Source organism: Homo sapiens, chromosome 7 (assembly GCF_000001405.40).
Source record: "Homo sapiens chromosome 7, GRCh38.p14 Primary Assembly".
Lineage (NCBI taxonomy): Eukaryota > Metazoa > Chordata > Mammalia > Primates > Hominidae > Homo > Homo sapiens.
The window spans coordinates 142754170-142780152 of record NC_000007.14 but is presented as its reverse complement, the minus strand read 5'-3'; the positions used below and the strand labels follow the sequence as shown (position 1 = coordinate 142780152).

General features: G+C 48.3%; 1 protein-coding gene, 1 long non-coding RNA gene, 2 pseudogenes and 1 further gene across 4 annotated transcripts; 2 read left to right on the top strand and 3 right to left on the bottom strand.

Annotated features, from left to right (window-relative positions):
* The window catches only part of TRB (T cell receptor beta locus), a 514277-nt gene that overhangs the window by 33135 nt on the left and 455159 nt on the right, over positions 1-25983 (bottom strand).
* Positions 616-1511, top strand: WBP1LP1 (WBP1L pseudogene 1; annotated as a pseudogene).
* Positions 5593-9183, bottom strand: PRSS2 (serine protease 2). 3 transcript variants are annotated; one of them, NM_001303414.2, is made up of 6 exons: positions 9131-9183; positions 7945-8104; positions 7550-7591; positions 6634-6887; positions 6098-6234; positions 5593-5797 (listed from the first exon to the last, which is right to left on the bottom strand). In NM_001303414.2, exons 1-6 carry the CDS (start codon positions 9168-9170, stop codon positions 5645-5647), a joined length of 786 nt encoding a protein of 261 aa, NP_001290343.1. In that variant the 5' UTR covers positions 9171-9183; the 3' UTR covers positions 5593-5644. The 3 variants fall into 3 exon arrangements, 2 of the variants coding, with proteins under 2 accessions (NP_001290343.1, NP_002761.1); NR_130149.2 differs by lacking the exon at positions 7550-7591 and having other exon boundaries at positions 7945-8030; NM_002770.4 differs by lacking the exon at positions 7550-7591.
* Positions 15046-15922, top strand: LOC124901763 (uncharacterized). Its single transcript, XR_007060566.1, has 2 exons — positions 15046-15582; positions 15784-15922. It is a non-coding gene; the product is annotated as an uncharacterized LOC124901763 (long non-coding RNA).
* Positions 16172-19738, bottom strand: PRSS3P1 (PRSS3 pseudogene 1; annotated as a pseudogene).

Below are 25983 nucleotides of genomic sequence, written 5' to 3'. Positions count from 1 at the left end.
CCACTCCGGAGGGGAGAGAAAACTAAATGGGAAAATGTCTATACATAGGAATAGTGTAAACATGTTGGTATTATTCTGTGGAGGAATAAAAGGCAGACTTCTCAAGAACATGAGGGATGGAGACCAAGGATTTGTCTTCTCCCCTCCAGACACAGGAGCCAGTTGTTGGGCAAGAGGGCCAGCACGATCATCTCCAAGCAGGACATCAGCTTGTGGGGAGTACAGACTGGGTTAGCAGGAGCACATGTGGAGAGGGGCCTCCGAGGAAGCTGATTCGGTCAGTGCTGGGGTTTCCTTGCATATGTTTGCTCTGGGTACAGAGAGGACCCTGTGTAGTCAAAGGCAGCAGTGAGGTCTTGCCAAGCATGCCAGCGTGTCACACATCAGCACATTGGGAGCCCACAGAAGTGCCAAGGCCAAGAAACCTCTTTAAGACCACTGTTCTGGAGGGCAGAGGAGGAGAGGAAGCAGAAGGAGGGCAGTGCTGTGATGGAGGAGCAGGAGCAGGAGGGGCTTGCAGAGGAGATGGTCTGGGTGGTGTGTGTGTGGGGGTGTGGGTGGTGTTCCTGGTCCTCCAGGTGCTGCCCAGCCCCTGTCAACCCAGGGTGAACCCCCATGGGATAAGCCTGTGTGGTACCAACAATCCAAGCTACACCTGTGACAAAAAACACTGCTGTGGCTCTGGCTGGTGTGGGCCACCATCATCATCCTCTTGAGCTGCTGCTTCGTCTGCTGCCACCGCTGAGCCAAGCACTGTCTTCAGGCCAGGCAGTGGCAACAAGAAATCAACCCGATCACCTGTAGGAAGCCCATGATTACTCAGCACTGCCACTTTATCTTCAGTTTTTTGCCAAACTATTTACTACCTTGTTATGAGGGAATGGTTTCCCGATCTCCAACTCTTCCCCAAACATATAGTGACTTCCAGCTATGGCATGTGGCCCTTAAGGTGGCAGTGACCCTGGGACTCCCAGGAGGCACAGAGCAGCCCCTTGGCTGGGCCTAGCAGAAGCAGCACAAGACCCCCACTCATTGCTGACCCTGGGGCCTCTGACACCAGCTGACACAGCAGCCACCAAAGACTTGGGAATGGAGCCCAGTGTCTGTGTGGCCAGCCTGGGGGAGTTGGGCCGAGGAGCCTTCCTGTGCAAGGATTTAGAATATATGGAGCAGCTGCTGAATGATTACAACTCTGAGCATGGCAGACTATCCCCGCCCCTCCCCGCCCCCTTCGCCCCAAGCAAAGAGAAGATACCATGTGTGCAACTGGGGCCAACATGACGATGGCCCCAAAGCATTCAACATGCTCATCAGTGATGCTCTGGATGGCCCCCTGGATGTCCATGACAGCTGCCCTGTGCAGTCACCTGGTGACAAGGAGCAATGCCCCTGCCAGCCATGCAAGGAGCAAGCTTGAGAGTCTGGGCATCTGCACCTACCACGGCCCCCAGTCCCTGCTGCTGAGCACCATGGATGAACAGAACTCTCCCAACCCCTAGAGCAGCAGCTCCCAGCCAGAGCCGGCCCTGTCTGTGCCCAAGACCTTGGCAAAGCAACCAGGGCTCGTTGTCCCCCTTTGTTTTCTCTTCTTCTCTCCTGCATTTTTCTCCATCTCCAGGTACAGCTTGGGATGTGGATGCCTCTCGCCACACAAAAATGCTTGGGATTCATTCCTGATACCCCAATTCAACCCGATTTTCCCTCCTTTTAAAGTCAGATCTCACCTACCTGTTTGGTCAGAGAAATGTGTGTTTTAAAATCCCCGAGGAAGGAGGCAGGGACTGAGCCCTCAGATGATTATCGGTGAAGTGGATTTATGCTTAATTTCAGTTTAAGAGAATGTTGCTGCGTCTCTGCCTAGGACAGGCAGCCCACTGTGGCCCTGGGTGACAAAGGAAGCCCACAGAGGCCCAGGGTTTGTCAACTGTGGCTGCCAGTGTCTGCAGAGCCAGAATTGAGCTAATCCCATGAAAGGATCAGCGCTGATGGGCAGTTGTATGGTAGGTTGCTACGGGGCTTATTGATCTCTCAAATTCCAGGTCACAAGATCAATGCATGCGTGAGGGGCCCCTTCCCAGCAGGCTCTGGTGGCTACAAACTGGTTCAGGTGTGGAAGATCATTATCACTTTACCTTTGGTTTTTCTTTGAAAAACAAACAATGAAAGACAGATGAAACCAAGAAATCTACCAGTGGGCAGGCAAGAATTCTCTTCGGGAAAAGGAATGTTTGTGGCTCTTCTCCACATTGGCCTTGAAAGAGCTTGGCTGCAGAGTGGCTATTATTAAAATGTCAAAAAACAGAAGATGCTGGTGAGGCTGCAGAGGAAATGGAACACCTATACACTGTTGGTCAGAGTGTAAATGAGTTCATGGAAAAATTAATGCAGAAAGCAGTTTGGAGATTTCTGAAATAATTTAAAACAGAACTACGATTCCACCCAGCAATTCCATTACTGGGCATTTACCCAAAGGAAAATAATTGTTCTGCCAAAAAGACACATGCTCTCACATGTCCATCACATCACTATTCACAGTAGCAAAGCCATGGAATGAACCTAGGTGGCCATCAGCGGTAGACTGGATGAAGGAAATGTGGTACATATACACCATGGAATACTATGCAGCCATGAAAAGAATGAAATCATGTCCTTTACAGCAACATGGATGGAGCTGGAGACCATAATCATAAGCAAATTAACATAAGAACAGAAAACCAAATATCACGTTCTCATGTATAAGTGGGAGCTGAGCATTGGGTACACATGGATATAAAGATGGGAAGACTAGACACTGCAACTACTAGAGGGAAGAGAGAAGGAGGGTGGATAGAGCTAAAAAAATACCTATTGGGTACTATGGTCACTGCCTGAGTGAGGAGATCATTTGTGCCCCAGACCTCAGCATCACACAATATACCCATGTAACAAATCTGCACATGTACCCCATGAATCTAAAATAAATGTTGAAAATATTTTTTAAAAATGGGGTCTGAGCCAGGAGCGGTAGCTCACGCCTGTAATCCCAGCACTTTGGATCACTTGAGGTCAGGAGTTCAAAACCAGTCTGGCCAACATGGTGAAACCCTGTCTCTGCTAAAAATACAAAATAAATAAATAAATAAATAAATAAATAAATAAATAAATAAAATAAAAAATAAATTAGCTGGGCACAGTGGTGGGTGCCTGTAATTCCAGCTACTTGGGAGGCTGAATCACTTGAACCCTGGAGGCAGAGGTTGTAGTGAGCAGAGATCATGCCATGGCACTCCAGCCTGGCTGTAGTTCAGCCAGAAGGATATGTGTGAAGGCTGAGGTGGGGGTTCTTCAGAGCCTCTATGAGCAGAAGGGCCTAAGCTGTGCCGGTGGACAGAGTTTCAGTTTTCTGCCTCTTTGCCCTTTGGTCTGGACCCACAGGTGAACAGTACCAGCCTCCATCCCAAGCACACGCTCTGCAGGCCTTCACATCTTACGGTTCCATGCGAGCAAACGGACTGGGAAAGCTGTGTGGCCTGAGAAAAGGCAACCCCGTGGCCTGACTCTCACACAGTATTTTGTCTTGGATTTTGAATAAGCACTTTTTTTGCTTCTTTTGTGTTTTCGGTGGTGGTGGTGGTGGTTTATTTTACACTGACCACTTGGAAGAAATCCCATGGTTATCTGTGATTTTCATGCCCTATTTCCGCTGGCAACCCTTCTCACTGGGGTGACTCACTTTCCTGTGTAAAGAGTCTTAGTGGCCAAGATGGGAGGTGGAAGCAGCCATCTGGAAGGCCATTGGGATCCTTATGTCTGTGTCTTGGCTTGAGGTGACCAGCTGGGCTTTGATAGGAATGATCTGAATGGAGACAGAAAACACTGGAAACTAACACTCCCCATCTAGCCCAGCCCAGCCCTGTTTATATGAAGCGTTTGGTTCTTCCCTTGACTCTTGAGTAATGATGATATTCAGATGAGGCATTGACATTGTGGTAAGAAAGGGAAAAAATGTATCTGTCTTGTCTGTCTATCAACTGGATATATATCTCCCAAAGCAGACAAACCCAAGGCTGTAAGGTGAACTAGGGTCTGCATTTGGACTCCATAAAAACAAAATCCATGTTGAACAAAGTGATGTTTGTATGCAGTGACGTTTTGGGTGACCCATGTGTATCTGTCCATTGTGTGCAAGCCCTGAGCCCTGTTTTCCTCTGAAGATAGTGAGTGGTAGCCGTCTCCTCACACAAACCACATGTCTGGAGCACAGATGGCCCTCTCAAGGTAATTGATCTTACACATTTACTGTTTACCAAACAAGTGTCTGATGCATACTTGGGTGTATTCCACAGCATGTGTACTGTGGTCCCCTGTGTTTGCCAGGAATGCTGTGCTGCATGTAGAGGTTTTACTCTACTCATCCCTGCAATTTGCACGCTGCTCCATGGACACTTGGAGGCCTGTGCTCTGTTCCCTGTAACTGGAAATGTGCTCTGAACTTGTCTGTCTCCCTTGGCTGCTCCTGGCCCTTAGCGCCAGCTCCCAGGGATGTCCACAACCACTTGGGACAGAAGGTGAAGGTGGAATTTCAAAGAGAAGCTTGCTTGGATCTTGGGTGACAAGCTTGGATGAGCTACGGCCCCAACTTAGGCCCTCTCAGAATTGCCAGAAGGAGGCTTTGGCAGGTGCCGCAAGTGCCATGAAGCCTGCCTCCCTCTGCTGTGTCCAGTGGGTGCAAGCCAGTCAATGTGTGGTCAGAGTGGCTGGTTGTGTCACAGTCCTCAGATCTTTCCTTCCACCTTTTTTAAAGAATCCCAAATAACTCACTTGAAGTGTCTCAAAGTCAAGCAAGTTTTATGAAAATGAATCCTTTCTCAGTTAATTGATCAAATGGGTGAATCCTGACCCTCTGTAGTTTCTTTCCCTGGTCAGAGTGAGGAGCTGGTGTTAGCTGTGGGATTCACTGTGGCATCCTACCCCAAAGGCAAAGAAGATAAAAATGCAGCATGAAGAGCTGGGCTTGATTCCCAAGTCGCAGTCTGGCTCCCGCTGTGGTAGGTGGAACATCTCTCTAGCCTGCTCACAGAGATGGAACTAGGGAATTAAGGGAAGAGTCGGAGGGCCAGGAAGATTTATTTGAGTCTGATTTTCCAGGCGAATGAGAAGGGAGGGCTTGGTCGAGGGTTTGGTGCCGACACATTCCTGGGAGAGTCACGTCATCACCAGCAGCATTTGTAATTATTGTTGTATTTTAGCAAGAAGTTTCAGCTGGTCAAATATTTTGGGCCACCTCGAAGATGCTGACACATTTTCTGTACTGTGATTGTTCTGAAGGCAGAGTAGCTCTAACCACTCTGAGAAGCCCAAATAAAACAATAGCCCCTGCCGAAGACCACCTTTCTGAAACACACGTTTCTCTAGAAAACAGTGCCCCCCTTTCTCCCAAGCTTCTTATTTTTGGATTCCACCTCTTTGTATGTGTTAATCTAGTGTACCATGGAACACATTTGGGAGCTGGAGGCTCTTCTTATGTTTAAGGGGGAGAGCCCTGTCTGACCTGAGGTTGGAGGATGCTTTCCAATGTGAAGGAGTGTGAAGGAGGAGGCACAGACACAGACAGTGAGAGCAGGGTCACTTTATTGGTATAGAGACTGCAGAGGGACCAGGGGCTTTAGCTGTTGGCAGCTATGGTGTCCTTAATCCAGTCCACATAGTTGTAGACCTTGGTGTAGACTCCAGGCCTGTTCTTCTGGGCACAGCCATAGCCCCAGGAGACAATTCCTTGGAGCTCTCCATTGGAGACCACAGGGCCACCAGAATCACCCTGGGGGGAAGAAGGGACAAGTTGTATGAAGAGAGAGATGGAGGAGGAATACACCTACATTTGCTCTGAACCTTAAAAGAGCCCTTTCCAGCCAGCTCTGTGGCTCCACGTCCTTCTCACGGTGGCCCATTCTCTGTTCTTCCTAAGCAGACAGGATGCAGCCCAAAGGAGTCTTCCTCACTTCTCCATGGGGCACTGCAGGGAGCCTCCTCAGCCCCGCCACCTTGGGAGTTCAAATCATTTTCCCTGGTGGGGCCTGGTTATCAGTGGGAGCCTCAGCATGGGAAGGGGTCAAATCACCTGGCAGGAATCCTTGCCTCCCTCGAGGAAGCCCACACAGAACATGTTGTTGGTAATCTTTCCAGGGTAGGAGGCTTCACACTCAGCCTGGCTCAGCACAGGAGCATCCAGGCACTGCAGCTCGTCTGGGTAGTCGGCTGTGAGGATCAGGAAGAGAACAAAGAAAGAAATGTGGGTTAGGCCAGAGAAAGAGACAATAGTCTAGGATGGAACATTGAAGAGGAACACTGCCCCTGGAGAGGACTCCAAAACATAAGTCCTGGCAAGGGACTCTGGCTTTTAGTTCCCAGAATGATCATTGTTGAACCTCTCCCACGAAGTGATCATAGCAAGTTCTCCATTTGTCCTGTCTTTTGATTTTAGGAGCCACATCCTTGAGAATTTGCATCTCTCTGGTGCCCAGTGCAGAGCCTGTGTGTAATGGGCACTAGAAATGTGTCTTAAGCCTGGAGGCGAGAGGATTTAAGTTAAGGGGCATGGTTTGTTCTGGAAATTGTGGGATGGAGGGAAGTAGAAGGACAAAGGGTCCCACTCACCACCAGAACTCAGAGTGTTGCCCCAGCCGGAGATGAGGGACTCGGTGCCAGCAGCTGGAGGGGCAGTGGGCAGAGAGATGGCGGACACGCGGGAATTGATGACGGCAGGTGAGGAGAGCTTGATCAGCAGGATGTCATTGTCCAGAGTCCGGCTGTTGTATTTGGGGTGGCGGATGATCTTGGCCGCATTGATGAACTGTTCATTCCCCTCCAGGACTTCGATGTTGTGCTCTCCCAGTCTCACCTGGATGCGGCTGATGGGCAGGGCAGGCATGGTGAAGACCTTCTCCCACAGCCAGGGCACCCCTCCCACCTTTCCATGGGTCCTTAAGCTCCCTGCTCATGGACAGCTCTGGAGGCATGGGGTGGGGTGTGTGGCCATATTGCATGGGCAGGAGAGCAATGTGGGTCAGTGCAGGTGTGAAACCCAGGACCTTTCTGCTTCAGAGGTTGGTGGTAGTGGAGTGGGGAAGAGTCAAAGGGATCCCACCAGAGGCTGCTCCTCAATCTGCCTTCCCAGACTCTTTCCCATAATCTCCATGTCACTAGCACTGTGGGCACAAGGAGCTCCTTGAAGTTTTCCCAACATTCTTCACTCCAGGCCTTTGCTAACTGTGCACAGTGCCTGCTCCTCCCTCCATTCTTGGCCTGGTGAGCACCACCCTTCTGTGTAATCTAATCCAAGGGTAGCCATAGCATTAGCATCTCCTGGGAATTTGTTAGAAATGTAAGTTCTTGGTCCTTACCCCCACCTACTGATCAGAACCTTGGGGATGGGTCCCAGTGATTTGTGCCTTAACAAGCCTGCAGGGAGTTCTGATGCATACTCAGGTTTAAGAGTTCTTGGTGTAGGCAGCAGTTCTCAGCTCTGTCTATACACTCTACAGTTACCAGAGGTAGAGTGTGAAATACTCACTGATATTCACACCCTCTTCCTGATAATTTTGAGTTAATTGCCCTGGGATAGAACACAGGGATCAGTATTTTTAAGTACTCATTCTTAGGTGGCTTTAATGTGTAGCTAACCAGCAAAAGTACTAGCCTGCTCTTCTCACTAGCTCTCACCACCCCAAGATCATCCCTGCCTGCTTTTATGACCACAACCCTTGCTGTTTCATGGATTTGCCTGGGTGTGAGGGCTTCCTGTCTTGTGTTCACTCTCTGCTCTGGAGAGTCAGCTGCTGCCAACAAGTTTTCTTTTCCACCATCTCTCTCGTCCGTCCTACCCAACCTCAGTACTTCCCTGGGCTGAATCCAAGCTCTCCCAGGCAGCCTGGCTGGGAGTTTTGCAGTCAGGGGCCCCACACTTACGACTTGTAGCAGTGACCTGCTGACACCACCCACTGTTCGCTGATGAGGGAGCCACCGCAGAAGTGGTAGCCAGAATTCAAGGACACCTGGTAGGGGACAGAATTCTCCTCACAGATGTAGCCCCCAACGATCTTGTCATCATCATCAAAGGGGGCAGCAACTGGAGTGGAGATGGGAAGGGAGAAGGCAAGTCAGTAGCATGTTAGGGGTGGCGCTCCCAGCCTGTGGCTGCTTCCTGCTAATTAGAAAACCTTAACAAGCTCAGTGAGGCTAGGCAAGGGGGGGAGCGCTGCCAGCCCTGGTGATCATCACTGGATGTGGCTCCCAAGTCTCTGTGTCTGCAGGGCACGTAGCTAGGTACCCTGTGGGGGTTCAGATCTCTCCTGGGGTCACCAGGCTGAGGACGCAAGGAATATCCTCACAATACTTCCAGTGGGATAGGATTTGGGATGTGGCTGTCTCAAGCACTGAAGTCTTCTCTCTTTTATTCACCACCTGTGTACTCCACCTGGTTATTTAAGCCCCGGATTGTCTGGCTACTTTGGCCAAGCTAGGAAAACCCCCTGGCGACATCGACTTGGCCATGACCAGTTTCCCCCTCAGCTCAAATCTGCCCAGTGAGGGCAGAGTTGAGGGAAGCCCCAGGCTCACTTTTGCAGAACAAAGGTATACGTTATTATTGGTCAAAACAACAGCAATTCTTAACCTTGGCTGCATGCCTAGAAATGTTAAAAATCACCTGGGAAGCTTAAAAGCCCAGAACACAGGCTGCACACCAGACAATTGAAGTGAGAATTTCTAGAGTTGAGTGTCTTGCATGAGTAATTTCAACCTCCCCAGGTGCATTCGAGGTTAAGAGCAGCTATAGTGGTGCTATTGTGGTGCTGTCAGAGCCAAGCCTGAAGCCTACTGCTTCATTTCATGGGCCAGCCCCACCTGGTCTCCCTTCCCAGCTTCTCCAACCACAGCTCGGATATGGATGAATAACAGCGGTGGGAGTGAAATCAAGGAGAAGGTGGAACAAGTGAGGCTTAAAAAGAGCCCAAGGAGGATGGGAAGAAGAAATGCCAGATGGAGGAAATAGAATATCACAGCACAGTCAAAAGAGGAGAGGTGGCAAGAATGGCAGGGCATGTGTCTGCCAGGGAAGGGTTGGTTGAGGCCTGAGGCAGGGCGTGAAACTCACCAGCAGCTGCAACAAAGGTAAGGATCAGAAGTAGATTCATGGTGGTAGAGTGTGCCTGATTGCTGGTGGAGAACCCGTCTTTATACCTCCCGAGGATGGGGAGAGGAGGTGTCTGTGAGGTGAGGGTCACTGCTCCTCCCAGCACAAACACACCTGCAGCTTTCCCCTTCCTATGGTCTTGCATCAGTATGTTTGGCCACTCTGTGGGTTTGTGATTCACAGGTGATAAGGAAACTTGCCTTCTGAGAGCAGAGAGGGAGACCGGCTGTTTCCTGGAAGGATGCTGATATGGGAAAGACAGGGGAAGCCAAGCCCCAGATCACACAGCTGGGCTTTCTTAGGCCGAGGAGATGAGGGTTAGAAGGAGGGAGAATGGCCTGGCTGTTTAGGAATATATTTTACTATTGGGGTTATATTTAATGTACTTAAGGAAGGGCAAGTGTTGGTAGCAAGCTTGGCTTTTTAGTGTCCTGGAGCTCCCAGGAGAGGGGCAAAGTCTTATCTAACTAAGGCTTGTTCCTGTGAATATGAAGATGCTTCTCTCCAGTCACTCAGTGGGAAAGTCAAATCCAAGGCTTTGGGGAATGAGAATTCCAACATTAAGGGGTAAGGAGAAGAGAGACTCAGCATTCCATAGGATGCTGGGCTTGAAGATGGCTCTCCCTCCTACCACGGCATAGGGATGAGAAGAAGGAGGGGGCACAGGTTAGGTAGGAGCTTACTCAGTGCATCTGGAGGATGGAAAACCAATGGCGCACTCCTCCCCTTCTTCAATGTGAAGACATTTGTCTCTCATGTGCATCCTGTCATAGGTTCTTTTTATGCAGCCTCATGGTTGCCCTTGCAACCTGCACTCAGGGTGATTGAAACTGACCCACCTGCTTGGGGCTGACAGCCTGAACCAGAATGACATGCCCCTGATCACATGTCAGAGTTTGGACCATGGTAAATCTGGGTTATGATTTGATCTGAGAATCAGCAGTAGGTAGGGATTTGAGCACATGGTAAATGGGTGACATATTGGGTTCAATAACAAAGATGTGGAGGGGTGGGTCTAGAATTTTCTATTTTAGATGTAGTGAGATTATACTTGGCTCAGTACTAAGTGAATCTTTCTAGAGAATATCCTGATTTGAGCCCTACCAAGGGTACTAAGATACAGTCGTGTAATTGACTGAGGCATAACCTGGCCAGAGCAGTGTGGAGATGGAGATGCTGTCTGCGCTCAGGTCTAATAATGTAAGGAAAGGAGGGGCTTCCTTATGAGGGTGCTTTCCCTTCTCATCAACTCTGAGCTAATGTTGGTGATGGGCAGGAGTGAGCAGAGTTCAAGTTTGAATTCTTTGAAAGGTAAAAGAAGCAGGGATGTTCTGGAGACAGTGAGCAAAATGAGAAAAGCTCAGAAACTTGCTGGAGAAATCGGACATGGCCAGGGGGCTAGAGGGAGGAAGCAAATGGAAACCAGAGGTAACTGGAAAAAAATACCAAAATAGGGTCCATGGTGTTGAGAGGACACACAGAGTACCTTCAGGTTCAGCTCCTGGCATGGCCACTGAGGCAGCTTCCCCACAGCCAGGAGACCCACTGCTCTGAGGCCCCCTCTCTCCCCGGTACCCTCTCTAATCACTAATAGGCTGATACCTAACGCTGCTATGCTTAGATGGTGCATGGTGCCTGACTGCTTCACGGGAGTTTTCACGTAAGCAACAGTGGTACATTGCTCTTTGTTTATGCTGAGTTTCGCAGTTTAACTTCCCACCAACGTGCTAATGGTGACTTGTGTGGAGCAAAATTATTTCCATTTATAGAGGAAGAGACTGAGATTCAGAAGGATTCTGTCTTGCCCAAGAATACAGATCTTGGCAGAGCTGACCATAAGGCCAACAGAAGCCATGGAGAGCATTGTGAAGTGTGGGAATTGCTGCACGTGGCATCTAAAAGGAGATTTATTGAGGATCAAGGCAGAGGTCCCCAGAGGACAAACTGTACATCTGATTCCTTCCTGGTGCTTTTCTTCCTGGCAGAAATAGATGATTGAATTCATCTTTCTCCTGGCACCTTTTCTCAGAGCCTTACCTTGCCACAGTTCCAGACCCATCCAGGCCATGACTGCCATGTAGATGACACACCTCTCTGCTCATGAATAACTGGCCAAGCCTGAGGTAGCTAGGTTTTAGAGCATTGATAATATGGGGTTTTGCTGTGTTGTCGCTGAACATGTTATTTCATTTTGTCCCCTTGTCATGGGGTCTTCACAGAACTCCTGCCTTAGAGGATAAGGAGAGACTCTTGCTCTAGCAACTATAGACACCAGTGTGCACTAAACAGGGAGGTGAACCTTGGTAGAAGATGGAGAATTTTTTTGGAAAAAGGGATTTTTGGATCAGGGCTTGTAGCTCTGACTCTTTTTCTGAAAGGTAACACCCAAGAATTGAGGATTTTCTGTATCTAGAGCTTGAAGACTAGCCTTCTCCAGTATTTTGTGCTCTTCCTTAAGCGATCACAGTATAGTCTGAGGTCAGCTTTCTTCAAAAAGGAATGACCTTACAGGCAGAGGAGATAGCTATAGGTGAAGACTGTTACCTCATACTGTAGACTCAGATGTGTAGGATAGGTTCAGATCCAGCTACCCATGCTCAATTTGGGGGACATGTCATTCTTGGTACTGTTCATTCTGAACTATAGATTTCTTTGTCTACTTCTCTAAGATATCTTTCTGGCTTGTGTTTAGTGCTTAACATGCCAAACCACTGTCCTTCCATTATCATAACAGTGAATCATTTCTGTGTGCTTCCTATATAGCATGTAACTTACTATACAGCATGTCACTCATATAAGTTAAGAACTTTTTTTTCATTTTATCATCACAACCACCTATGGAATTGCCCACTTTACAGATGAGCAAATGAGCTTTCTGAAGGTGAAGTGACTCTTCCATGTTCCAGAGCAGCAGCTCCCAGCCAGAGCCAGCCCTGCCTGCACTCAAGACCTTGGCAAAGCAACCAGAGCCAGAAAGAACCATGAGAGAAGCTTTCAATGACTTTCAGACACTTTGTCCTCCTTTTTTACCCTTCTCCTCTCCTGCTTTTTTCCCCATCTCCAAGTATATTTTGGGATGTGGATGCCATTCGCCACACAAAAACACTTGGGATTCATTCCTGATACCCCAATTCATCCCACTTTCCCCCCTTTAAAGTCAGATCTCACCTACCTGTTTGGTCAGAGAGATGTGTGTTTTAAAATCCCCAAGGAAGGAGGCAGGGACTGTGCCCTCAGATGATTATTGGTGAAGTGGGTTTATGCTTAATTTCAGCTTAAGAGAATGTTGCTGTGTCTCTGCCTAGGACAGGCAGCCCACTGTGGCCCTGGGTGATGAAGGAAGCCCACAGAGGCCCAGGGTTTCTCACCCGTGGCTGCCAGTGTCTGCAGAGCCAGAATTGAGCTAATCCTGTGAAAGGATGAGCGCTGATAGGCAGTTGTATGGTAGGTTGCTGTGGGGCTTCTAGATCTCTCAAATTCCACATGACAAGATCAATGCATGCGTGAGGGGCCCCTTCCCAGCAGGCTCTGGTGGCTACAAACTGGTTCACGTGTGGAAGATCATACCACTTTACCTTTGGTTTTTCTTTGAAAAGCAAACAATGAAAGACAGCTGAAAACAAGAATTCTACCAGTGGGCAGGCAAGAATTCTCGTTGGGAAAAGGGATGTTTGTGGCTGTTCCCCACATTGGGCTTGAAAGAGCTTGGCTGCAGTGTGGTTATTATTAAAATGTCCACAGAATAGAAGATGCTCATGAGGCTGCAGTGGAAAGGGAATGCTTGTACACTGTTGGCCAGAGTGTAAATCAGTTCATGGAAAAATTAATGTAGAAAACCGTTTGGAGATTTCTGAAACAATTTAAAACAGAACTATCTTTCCACCCAGCACTTGCTTTATTGGGCATTTACCTAAAGGAAAGTAATTGTTCTGCCAAAAAGACTCATGCTCTTGCATGTCCATCACAGCACTATTCACAGTAGCAAAGCCATGGAATCAACCTAGGTGGCCATCAGCGGTAGACTGGATAAAGAAAATGTGGTACATATACACCATGGAATACTATGCAGCCATGAAAAGAATGAAATCATGTCCTTTGCAGCAACATGGATGGAGCTGGAGACCATAATCCTAAGCAAATTAACATGGGAACAGAAAACCAAATATCACGTTCTCATGTATAAGTCGGAGCTGAGCATTGGGTAAAAATGGATGTAAAGATGGGAAGAGTAGACACTGCAACTACTAGAGGGAAGAGAGAAGGAGTGTGGAAAGGGCTGAAAAAATACCTATTGGGTACTGTGCTCAGTTCCTGAGTGAGGAGATCATTTGTGCCCCAAACCTCAGCATCACACAGTATACCCATGTAACAAACCTGCACATGTACCCCATGAATCTAAAATAAAATTTGAAATTATTTTTTAAAAAATGGGGCCTGGGCCAGAAGCTGTGGCTCACACCTGTAATCCTAGCACTCTGGATCACTTGAGGTCAGGAGTTCAAAACCACACTGGCCAACATCGTAAATCCCTGTCTCTAATAAAAATACAAAAAAGAAAAAAAAAATTAGCTTGGCATGGTGGCATGCACCTGTAATCCCGTGTACTTGGGAGACTGAATCACTTGAACCCGGGAGGTGGAGGTTGTAGTGAGCAGAGATCATGCCACGGCACTCCAGCCTGGCTGTTGTTCAGCCAGAAGGAGATGTTTTGTGTGAAGGCTGAGGTGGGGGCTCTTTGGAGCCTCTGTGAGAAGGAGGCCCTAAGCCGTGGCGGTGGACAGAGTTATAGCTTTCTGCCTCTTTGCCATTTGGTCTGGACCCACAGGTGAACAGTACCAGCCTCGATCCCGAGCACACGCCCTGCAGACTTTCACATCTCACGGTCCATGTGAGCACATGGAATGGGAAAGCTGTGTGGCCTGAGAAAAGGCAACCCCGTGGCCTGTTTCTCACACAGTATTTTGTCTTAGATTTTTGAATAAGCATTTTTCTGCTTGTTTTGTGTTTTTTGTGGTGGTGGTGGTGGTTTATTTTACACTGACCACTTGCGAGATATACCATGGTTATCTGTGATTTTCATGCACTGTTTGTGCTGTCAACCCTTCTCACAGGGCTAACTCAGATTTCTGTGTAAAGACTCTATGTGGCCCAGGTAGGAGGTGGAAGCAGCCATCTAGAAGGCCATTGGGATCCTTATGTCTGTCTCTTGGCTTGAGGTAACCAGCTGGGCTTTGATAGGAATGATCTGAATGGAGACAGAAAACAGGGGAAACTAAGACTCCTTGCCCAGCCCTGTTTATATGAAGCATTTTGTTCTTCCCTTGATTCTTGAGTGATGATGATATTCAGACGAGGCACTGACGTTACAGTAAGAAAGGGAAAAAAATGTATCTGTGTTGTCTATCTATCTACTGGATATATGTCTCCAAAAGCAGACAAACCCAAGGCTGTAAGGTGAACTACGGTCTGCGTTTGGACTCCATAAAAACAAAATCCATGTTGAACAAAGTGATGTTTGTATGTATTGACGTTCTGGGTGACCTGTGTGTATCTCCATTGTGTGCAAGCCCTGAGCCCTGTTTTCCTCTGAAGATAGTGAGTGGTAGCCGTCTCCTCACATGAACTACATATCTGGAGCCCAGATGGCCCTCTCAAGGTAATTGATCTTACACATTTACTGTTTACCAAACAAGTGTCCGATGCATACTTGGGTTTATTCCACAGCATGTGGACTGCGGTCCCTTGTGTTTGCCAGGAATGCTGTGCTCCATGTAGAGGTTTTCCTCTACTCATCCCTGCAATTTGCACACTGCTCTGTGGACACTTGGAGGCCTGTGCTCTGTTCCCTGTAACTGGAAATGTGCTCTGAACTTGTCTGTCTTCCTTGGCTGCTCCTGGCCCTTGTTACCAGCTCCCAGGGGTGTCCACAACCACTTGGGACAGAAGATGAAGGTGGAATTTCAAAGAGAAGCTTGCTTGGATCTTCGGTGACAAGCTTGGATGAGCTACAGCCCCAACATGGTCCCTCTCAGAATTGCCTGGAAGAGGCTTTGGCAGGTGCCAGAGGTGCCAGGGGGCCTGCCTCCCTCTGCTGCATCCAGTGGGTGCAAGCCAGCCAACATGTGGCCAGAGTGGCTGCTCAGATGTCTTTCCCTCCACTTTTTTTTAAGGAGTCCCACGTAAGTCACTTGAAGTATCTCAAAGGCAAGCAAGTTATATGAAAATGAAACCTACCTCAGTTAATTGATCAAATGGGTGAATCTTGACCCTCTCTAGTTTCTTTCCCTGGTCAGAGTGGGGAGCTGGTGTTAACTGTGGGATTCATATGGCGTCCTACCCCAAAGGCAAAGAAGATGAAAATGCAGCGTGCAGACCTGGCTTGATTCCCAAGTCGCAGTCTAGCTCCCGCTATGGTAGGTGGAACATCTCTCTAGCCTGCTCACAGAGATGGAACTAGGGAACTGAGGGAAGAGGTAGGAGGCCAGGGAGCTTTGCTTGAGTCTAATTTTCCAGGTGAATGAGGAGGGAGGGCTTGGTTGAGGGTTTGGTGCTGACATATTCCTGTGAGAGGCACGTCATCACCAACAGCATTTGTCTTTTTTGATGTATTTTAGCAAGAAGATTCAGCTGGTCGGATTTTTTGGGCTGCCTCGAAGATGCTGACAACATTTTCTGTGCTGTGATTGTTCTGAAGGCAGAGTAGCTCTACCCACTGTGAGAAGCCCAAATAAAAATCAGTACCCCCCCACCAAAGACCAACTTTCTGAAACACACATTTCTCTAGAAAACAGTGCCCCCCTTTCTCCCAAGTTTCTTATAATTTTTGGATTCCATCTATTTGTATGTGCTAATCTAGTGTACCATGCAACACATTTTGGGAGATGAGGGTTCAGCTTACCTTTAAGGGGGGGAGTCGTGGCTGACCTGAGATTGGAGGATGCTTTCCAGTGTGAAGCAGTGTGAGGGAGCAGGCACAGACACAGACAGTGAAAGCAAGGTCACTTTATTGGTATAGAGACTGCAGAGGTACCAGAGGCTTTAGCTGTTGGCAGCTATGGTGTCCTTAATCCAGTCCACATAGTTGTAGACCTTGGTGTAGACTCCAGGCCTGTTCTTCTGGGCACAGCCATAGCCCCAGGAGACAACTCCTTGGAGCTGTCCGTTGCAGACCACAGGGCCACCAGAGTCACCCTGGGGAGAAGAAGGGACAAGCTGTATGAAGAGAGAGAAAGAGGAAGAATATAGCTACATTTGCTCTGAACCTTAAAAGACTCCTTTCCAGCCAGCTCTTTGGCTCCACGTCCTTCGCACAGTGGCCCATTCTCTGTTCTTCCTAAGCAGACAGGATGCAGCCCAAGGGAGTCTTCCTCACTTCTCCATGGGGGCAGTGCAGGGAGCCTCCTGAGCCCCGCCACCTTGGGAGTTCAAATCTTTTTCCTGGGTGGGGCCTGGGTATCAGTGGGAACCTCAGCATGGGAAGGGGTCAAACCACCTGGCAGGAATCCTTGCCTCCCTCAAGGAAACCCACACAGAACATGTTGTTGGTAATCTCTCCAGGGTAGGAGGCTTCACAGTCAGCCTGGGTCAGCACATGAGTGTCCAGGCACTGCAGCTCATCTGGATAGTTGGCTGTGAGGATCAGCAAGAGAACAAAGAAAGTAGAAGTGTAGATCAGGCCAGAGAAGGAGACAATAATCTAGGATGGAACATTGAAGAGGAACACTGTCCCTGGAGAGGACTCCGAAACCTAAGTCCTGGCAAGGGACTCTGGCTTTTAGTTCCCAGAATGATCATTTTTGAACCCCTTCCAAGACGTGATCAAAGCAAGTTCTCTATATGTCCTGTCTTTTGATTTTAGGAGCCAAGTCCTTGAGACTTTGCATCTCTCTGATGTCCATCCACTGTACAGCCTGTGTGTAATGGGCACTAGAAATGTGTCTTAAGCCTGGAGGTGAGAGGATTCAAGTTAAGGGGCATGGTTTGTTCTGGAAATTGTGAGGATGGAGGGAAGGAGAAGGACAAAGGGTCCCACTCACCACCAGAGCTCAGAGTGTTGCCCTAGCCAGAGATGAGGAACTTGGTGCCAGCAGCTGGAGGGGCGGTGGGTAGAGAGATGGTGGACATGTGGGCATTGATGACAGCAGGCATGGAGAGCTTGATCAGCAGGATGTCATTGTCCAGAGTCCAACTGTTGTATTTGGGGTGGCGGATGATCTTGGCTGCATTGATGAACTGCTCATTCCCCTCCAGAACTTCGACGTTGTGCTCTCCCAGTCTCACCTGGATGCGGCTGATGGGCAGGGCAGGCATGGTGAAGACCTTCTCCCACAGCTGGGACACCCATCTTACTTTCCCCAGGGTCCTCAAGCTCCCTGCTCATGGGCAGCTCTGGAGGCATCGGGTGGGGTGTGTGGCCATATCACATGGGCAGGAGAGGGATGGGGGTCAGTGAAGTTGTGAGACCCAGGACCTTTCTGTTTCAGAGGTTGGTGGTAATGGGGTTGGGAAGAGTCAAAAGGATTCCACCGGAGGATGCTCCTTAACCCTCCTTCCCAGCCTCTTTCCCACAATCTCCACAGTCACTAGCACTGTGGGCACAAGGAGCTCTTTGAAGTTTTCCCAGCATTCTTCACCCCAGGCCTTTGCTAACTGTGCACAGTGCCTGTTCCTCCCTCCTTTCTTGGCCTGGTGAGCACCACCCTTCTGTGTAATCTAACCTAAGGGTAGCCATAGCATTAGCATCTCCTGGGAACTTGTTAGAAATGTAAATTCTTGGTCCTTACCCCCACCTACTGCTCAGAACCTTGGGGATGGGTCCCAGTGATTTGTGCTTTAACAACCCTGCAGGTGGTTCTGAGGCAAACTCAGGTTTGAGAGTTCTTGGTGTAGGGAGCAGTTCTCAGCTCTGTCTATACAATCTACAGTTACCAGAGGTAGAATGTTTAATACTCACTGATATTCACACCCTCTTCCTGAAAATTCCTGATAATTGCCCTGGGATAGGACACAGGCATCAGTACTTTTAAAAACTCTTTCTTAAGTGACTTTGATGTGTAGCTAACCAGCAAAGGGTACTTGCCTGCTGTTCTTACTAGCTCTGCCAAACACCAAGATCATCCCTGCCTGCTTTTATGACCACAACCCTTGCTGTTTCATGGATTTGCCTGGGTGTGAGAGCTTCCTGTCTTGTGTTCGCTCTCTGCTCTGGAGAGTCCGCTGCTGCCAACAAGTTTTCTTCTCCACCACCTCTCCCATCCATCTTACCCAACCTCAGTAGTTCCCTGGGCTGAAGCCAAGCTCTCCCAGGCAGCCTGGCTGGGAGCTTTGCAGTCAGGGGCCCCACACTTACTACTTGTAGCAGTGAGCTGCTGACACCACCCACTGTTCGCTGAGGAGGGAGCCACTGCAGAAGTGGTACCCAGAATTCAGGGACACCTGGTAGGGGACAGAATTCTCCTCACAGGTATACCACTAAATGATGTTGTCATCGTCGTCGAAAGGGGAAGCAACTGGAGTGGAGATGGGAAAGGAGAAGGCAAGTCAGTAGCATGTTAGGGGTAGCGCTCCCAGCCTTCGGTTGCTTCCTGCTAATTAGAAATCCTTAACGAGCACAGTGAGGCTAGGTAAGGGAGGGAGCGCTGTCACCCCTGGTAAGCATCACTGCATGTGGCTCCCAAGTCTCTGTGTCTGCAGGGCATGTAGCTAGGTACCCTGCAGGGGCTCAGTTCTCCCCGGGGTCACCAGGCTGAGGATTCAAGGAATGTCCTCACAATGCTTCCAGTGGGATAGGAATTGGGATGTGGTTGTCTCACCCACTGAGTGCTTCTCTCTTTTATTCATCACCTGTGTACTTCCCCTGGCGATTTGAGCCCTGGATTGTCAGTATACTTTGGCCAAGCTAGGAAAACCCCCTGGCTGCGTAGACCTGGCCATGACCAGCTTCCCCCATAGCTCAGATTTGTGTAGTCAGGGCAGAGTTGAGGGCAGCCCCCAGGCTCACTTTGGCAGAACAAAGGTAGACATTGTTATTGGCCAATAGAACAGCAATTCTTAACCTTGGCTGCATGCATGGAAATGTTAAAAATCACCCGGGAATGTTAAAAGCCCAGTACACAGGTTGCACCCCAGAGAATGAAGTTAGAACTTCTAAAGCTGAGTCTCTGATATGAGTAATTTTTCAACCTCCCCAGGTGCATTTGAGGTTAAGAGCAGATATAATGGTGCTATACTGGTGCTATGGAGCCAAGCCTGAAGGCTGCTGCTTCATTTTGTGGGCCCGCCCCACCTGGTCTCCCTTCCCAGCTTCTCCAGCCACAGCTCAGATATGGATGAATGACAGTGGTGGGAGTGAAATCATGGAGAAGCTGAAACAGGTGAGGCTTAAAGAGAGCCGAAGGAGGATGGGAAGGAGAGATGGAGGAAATAGAATATCAGAACACAGTCAAAATGGGAAAGGTGGCAAGAATGGCAGGGCAAGTGTCTGCCAGGAAAGGGGGTGGTTGGGGCCTGAGGCATGGCATGAAACTCGCCAGCAGCTCCCACAAAGGCAAGGATCAGGAGTGGATTCATGGTGGTAGAGTGTGCCTGACTGGTGGTGGAGGACCTGTCTTTATACCTCCTGAGGATCTGGAGAGGAGGTGTCTCTGAGGTGAGGGTCAGCACTCCTCCCAGCACAAACACACCTGCAGCTTTCCCCTTCCCAGGGTCTTGCATCAGCTTGGCTATGTTTGGCCACTCTCTGGGTTTGTGACTCATAGGTGATAAGGAAATTTGCCTTCTGAAAGCAGAGAGAGAGAGCAGCCCTTTCCCGCAAGGATGCTGGGATGGGGAAGACAGGGGAAGCCAAGCCCTGGATCACACATCTGGGCTTTCGTAGGCCGAGGAGATGAGGGTTAGAAGGAGGGAGAATGGCCTGGCTGTTTAGGAATCTGTTTAACTATTTGGGATGTATTTAATGTACTTAAGGAAGGGCAAGTATTGGTAACAAGCTTGGCTTTTCAGTGTCCTGGAGCTCCCAGGAGAGGAGCAAAGTCTGATCTAAGGCTCATTCCTGTGAATATGAAGATGCTTCTCTCCAGTCAGTGTCGGGCAAGGTCAAATCCAAGACTTTGGGGAATGAGAATTCCAACACTAAGGGGTAAGGAGAAGGGAGACTCAGCATTCCATAGGATTCAGGGCTTCCAGATGGCTCTCCTTCCTACCAAGGCTTAAGGATGGGATGTGTTTCAAAGAAGGAGGGGGCACAGTTTAGGTAGGAGCTTAGTGCATCTGGAGGATGGAAAACCAATGGTGCACTCCTCCCCTTCTTCAATGTGAAGACATTTGTCTCTCTCATATGCATCCTGTCATAGGTTCTTTTTATGCAGCCTCATGGTTGCCCTGGCAACCTGCTCTCAGGGTGAGGCAAACTGACCCACCTGCTTGGGGCTGACAGCCTGAACCAGGATGACATGGCCCCAATCAGATGTCAGAGTTTGGACCATGGTAAACCTGGGTTACGATTTGATCTGAGAATCAGCAGTAGGTAGAGATTTGAGCACATGGTAAATGGGTGACATATTGGGTTCAATAACGAAGATGTGGAGGGGTGGGTCTAGAATTTTCTATTTTAGATCCCGGGAGATTATGCTTGGCTCAGTACAAAGTGAAACTTCCCAAAGAATATCCTGATTTGGGCCCTACCAAGGCTACTGAGACACAGTTGTGTAATTGACTGAGGCACAACCTGGCCAGAGCAGTGTGGAGATGGAAATGCTGTCTGTGCTCAAGTCTAATGATGTAAGAAAAGGAGGAGTTTCCTTATGAGGGTGCTTTCCCTTCTCAGGAACTCTGAGCTCAGGTTGGTGATGGGCAGGAGTGAGCAGAGTTCAAGTTTGAATTCTTTGAAAGGTAAAAGAAGCAGGGATGTTCTGGAGACAGTGAACAAAATGAGAAAAGCTCAGAAACTTGGTGTTGAAATTGGACACAGCCAGGGGGCTAGAGGGAGGAAGCAAATGGAAACGAGAGGGAATTGGAGAAAATGCCAAAGTGGGGCCCGTGGAGTTGAGAGGACACACAGAGTACCTTCGGGTTCAGCTCCTAGTATGGCCACCCAGCCAGCTTCCCCAGAGCCCGGAGACCCACTGCTCAGAGACCCCCTCTCCACCCCATACCCCCTCTAATCACTGATGGGCTTATACCTAACACTGCTGTACTTAGATGGTGCATGGTGCCTGACAACTTTACAAGAGTTTTCATAAGCAACAGTGGTACATTGCTTTTCATTGATGCTGAGTTTCACGGTTTAACTTCCCACAAACATGCTAATTGTGATTTGTGTAGAGCCAAATTGTTTCCATTTATAGAGGAAGAGACTGAGATTCAGAAGGATTCTGTCTTGCCCAAGAATACAGATCTTGGCAGAGCTGACCATAAGGCCAACAGAAGCCATGGAGAGCATTGTAAAGTGTGGGAATTGCTGCACGTGGCATCTAAAAGGAGATTTATTGCGGATCAAGGCAGAGGTCCCCAGAGGACAAACTGTACATCTGATTCCTTCCTGGTGCTTTTCTTCCTGGCAGAAATGGATGATTGAATTCATCTTTCTCCTGGCACCTTGTCTCAGAGCCTTATCTTGCCACAGTTCCAGACCCATCCAGGCCATGACTGCCATGTAGATGAGAAACCTCTCTGCTCATGAATAACTGGCCAAGCCTGAGGTAGCCAGGTTTTGGAGCTTTGATAATATGGGTTTTTCCTGTGTTGTCCCTAAACATGTTGTTTCATTTTGTCCCCTTGTCATGGGGCCTTCACAGAACTCCTGCCTTAGAGAATAAGGAGAGACTCTTGCTCTAGCAACTATAGACACTAGTGAGCACTCAATAGGGATGTGAACCTTGGTAGGAGATGGAAAACGTTTTTGGGAAAGGGGGTTTCTGGATTAGTGCTTGTGGCTCTGATTCTCTGTCTGAAAGGGAACACCCAAGAATATGAGGATTTTCTGTATCTAGAGCTTGAAGACTAGCCTTCTCCAGTATTTTGTGCTCTTCCTTAAATGATCACAGTATAGTCTGAGGTCAGCTTTCTTCAAAAAGGAATGACCTCACAGGCAGAGAAGATAGCTATAGGTGGAGACTATTACCTCATATCATAGACTCAGATGTGTAGGATAGGTTCAGATCTACCTGCCCAAGCTCAATTTGGAGGACATGTCATTCTTGGTACTGTTGGTTCTGAACTATAGATTTCTTTGTCTACTTCTCTAAGACATTTTTTCTGGCTTGTATTTAGTGCTTAGCACACCAAGCCACTGTCCTTCTATTATGATAACAGTGAATCATTTCTGTGTGCTTCCTATATAGCACATAACTTACTATACAGCATGTAACTCATGTAAGTTAAGAATGTTTTTTTTTCATTTTATCATCACAACCACCTATGGGCTTGCCCATTTTACAGATGATCGAATGAACTTTCTGGAGGTGAAGTGACTCTTCCATGTCCCAGAGCAGCAGCTCCCAGCCAGAGCTGGCCCTGCCTGCACTCAAGACCTTGGAAAAGCAACCAGAGCCAGAAAGAACCATGAGAGAAGCTTTCAAATACTTTCAGCCACTTTTTCCTCCTTTTTTTCTCTTCTCCTCTCCTGCATTTTTCTCCATCTCCAGGTACAGTTCGGGATGTGGATGCCTGTCCCCACACAAAAACACTTGTGATCCATTCCTGATACCTCAATTCAACCCAATTTCCCCCCTTTAAAGTCAGATCTCACCTACCTGTTTGGTCAGAGAAATGTGTGTTTTAAAATCCCCGAGGAAGGAGACAGGGACTGAGCCCTCAGATGATTATTGGTGAAGTGGATTTATGCTTAATTTCAGTTTAAGAGAATGTTGCTGTGTCTCTGCCTAGGGCAGGCACCCCATTGTGGCCCTGGGTGATGAGGAAAGCCCACAGATACACAGGGTTTGTCACCTGTGGCTGCCAGTGTCTGCAGAGTCAGAATTGAGATAATCCCTTGAAAGGATCAGCACTGATGGGCAGTTGCATGGTAGGTTGCTATGGGGCTTCTTGATCTCTCAAATTCCAGGTGACAAGATGAATGCATGCTTGAGGGGCCCCTTCGCAGCAGGCTCTGGTGGCTACAAACTGGTTCAGGTGTGGAAGATCTTACCACTTTACCTTTGGTTTTTCTTTTTTTTCTTTTCTTTTCTTTCTTTTTTTTTTTTTGAGACAGAGTCTGGCTCTGTTGTCCAGGCTGGAGTGCAGTAGCATGATCTCAGGTCACTGCAAGCTTTGCCTCCCAGGTTCACGCCATTCTCCCGCCTCAGCCTCCCGAGTAGCTGGGACTACAGGCACCTGCCACCACACCCGGCTAATTTTTTATGTTTTTAGTAGACACGGGATTTCACTGTGTTAGCCAGGATGGTCTCTATCTCCTGACTTCGTGATCCGCCCGCCTCGGCCACGTATAGTGCTGGGATTACAGGCCAGTTTTTCTTTGAAAAACAAATAATAAAAGACAGATGAAAACAAGAATTCTACCAGTGGGCAGGCAAGAATTCTCTTCCGGAAAAGGGATGTTTGTGGCTCTACCCCACATTGGCCTTGAAAGAGCTTGGCTGCAGAGTGGCTATTATTAAAACGTCAAAAAAAAAAAAAAAAAAATAGAAGATGCTGTCAAGGCTGCAGAGGAAAGGGAATGCTTATACACTCTTGGCCTGACTGTCGATTAGTTTATGGAAAAATTAATGCAGAAGGCAGTTTGGAGATTTCTGAAATAATTAAAAACAGAACTACCTTTCCACCCAGCAATTCCTTTACTGGGCATATACCCAAAGGAAAATAATTGGTCTGCCAAAAAGACACATGCTCTTGCATGTCCGTCACAGCACTATTCACAATAACAAAGCCATGGAATCAATCTAGGTGGCCATCAACGGTAGATTGGATAAAGGAAATGTGGTACATATACACCATGGAATACTATGCAGCTATGAAAAAATGAAATCATGTCTTTGCAGCAACGTGGATGGAGATGGAGACCATAATTCTAAGCAAATTAACACAGGTATGTAAAACCAAATATCACGTTCTTCTGTATAAGTGGGAGCTGAGCATTTGGTACACATGGATATAAAGATGGGAACAGTAGACACTGTAACTGCTAGAGGGAAGAGAGAAGGAGGGTGGAAAGGGCTGAATAACTACCTATTGGGCACTATTCTCACTGCCTGAGTGGTAAGAACATTTGTGCCCCAAACCTCAGCATCACGCAATATACCCATGTAACAAACCTGCACACGTATGCCCTGAATCTAAAATAAAAGTTGAAAATTTTTTTAAAAAATGGGTCCTGGGCCAGAAGTGGTGGCTCATGCCTGTAATCCCAGTACCTTGGATCACTTGAGGTCAGGAGTTCAAAATGAGCCTGGCCAACATGGTGAAACCCTGTCTCCACTAAAAATACAAACAAACAAACAAACAAAATCAGCTGGGCATGGTGGCGAGTGCCTGTAATCCCAGGTACTTGGGAGGCTGAATCACTTGAACCCGGGAGGTGGAGACTGTAGTGAGCAGAGATCATGCCACGGCACTCCAGCCTGGCTGTAGTTCAGCCAGAAGGAGATGTTTTGTGTGAAGGCTGAGGTGGGGGCTCTTAGGAGCCTCTGTGAGAAGGAGGCCCTAAGCCGTGGCGGTGGACAGATATCAGCTTTCTGCCTTATTGCCCTTTGGTCTGGACCCATAGGTGAACAGTACCAGCCTCGATCCTGAGCACACACCCTGCAGACTTTCACATCTCACGGTTCCACGTGAGTACATGGACTGGGAAAGCTGTGTGGCCTGTGAAAAGGCAACCCCGTGGCCTGGCTCTCACACAGTATTTTGTCTAGGATTTTGAATAAGCATGTTTTTGCTTGTTTTGTGTTTTTGGTGATGGTAGTGTTGGTATATTTTATACTGACCACTTGGAAGAAATCCCATGGTTATCTGTGATTTTCATGCCCTGTTTCTTCTGGCAACCCTTCTCACTGGGGTGACTCACTTTCCTGTGTAAAGAGTCTTAGTGGCCCAGGTGGGAGGTGGAAGCAGCCATCTGGAAGGCCATTGGGATCCTTATGTCTGTGTCTTGGCTTGAGGTGACCAGCTGGGCTTTGATAGGGATGATCTGAATGGAGACAGAAAACAGTGGAAACTAACACTCCCTGCCCAGCCCAGCCCTGTTTATATGAAGCGTTTGGTTCTTCCCTTGACTCTTGAGTGATGATGATATTCAGATAAGGCATTGATATTATAGTAAGAAAGGGAAAAAATTATCTGTCTTGTCTGTCTATCTATCTACTGGATATATATCTCCAAAAGCAGACAAACCCAAGGCTGTAAGGTGAACTACGGTCTGCGTTTGGACTCCATAAAAACAAAATCCATGTTGAACAAAGTGATGTTTGTATGTATTGATGTTCTGGGTGACCCGTGTGTATCTATCCATTGTGTGCGAGCCCTGAGCCCTGTTTTCCTCTGGAGATAGTGAGTGGTAGCCGTCTCCTCACACAAGTCACACATCTGGAGCCCAGATGGCCCTCTCAAGGTAATTGATCTTACACATTTACTGTTTACCAAACAAGTGTCTGATGCATACTTGGGTGTATTCCACAGCATGTGGACTGCAGTCCCCTGTGTTTGCCAGGAACGCTGTGCTCCATGTAGAGGTTTTCCTCTACTCATCCCTGCAATTTGCACGCTGCTCTGTGGACACTTGGAGGCCTGTGCTCTGTTCCCTGTAACTGGAAATGTGCTCTGAACTTGTCTGTCTCCCTTGGCTGCTCCTGGCCCTTAGTGCC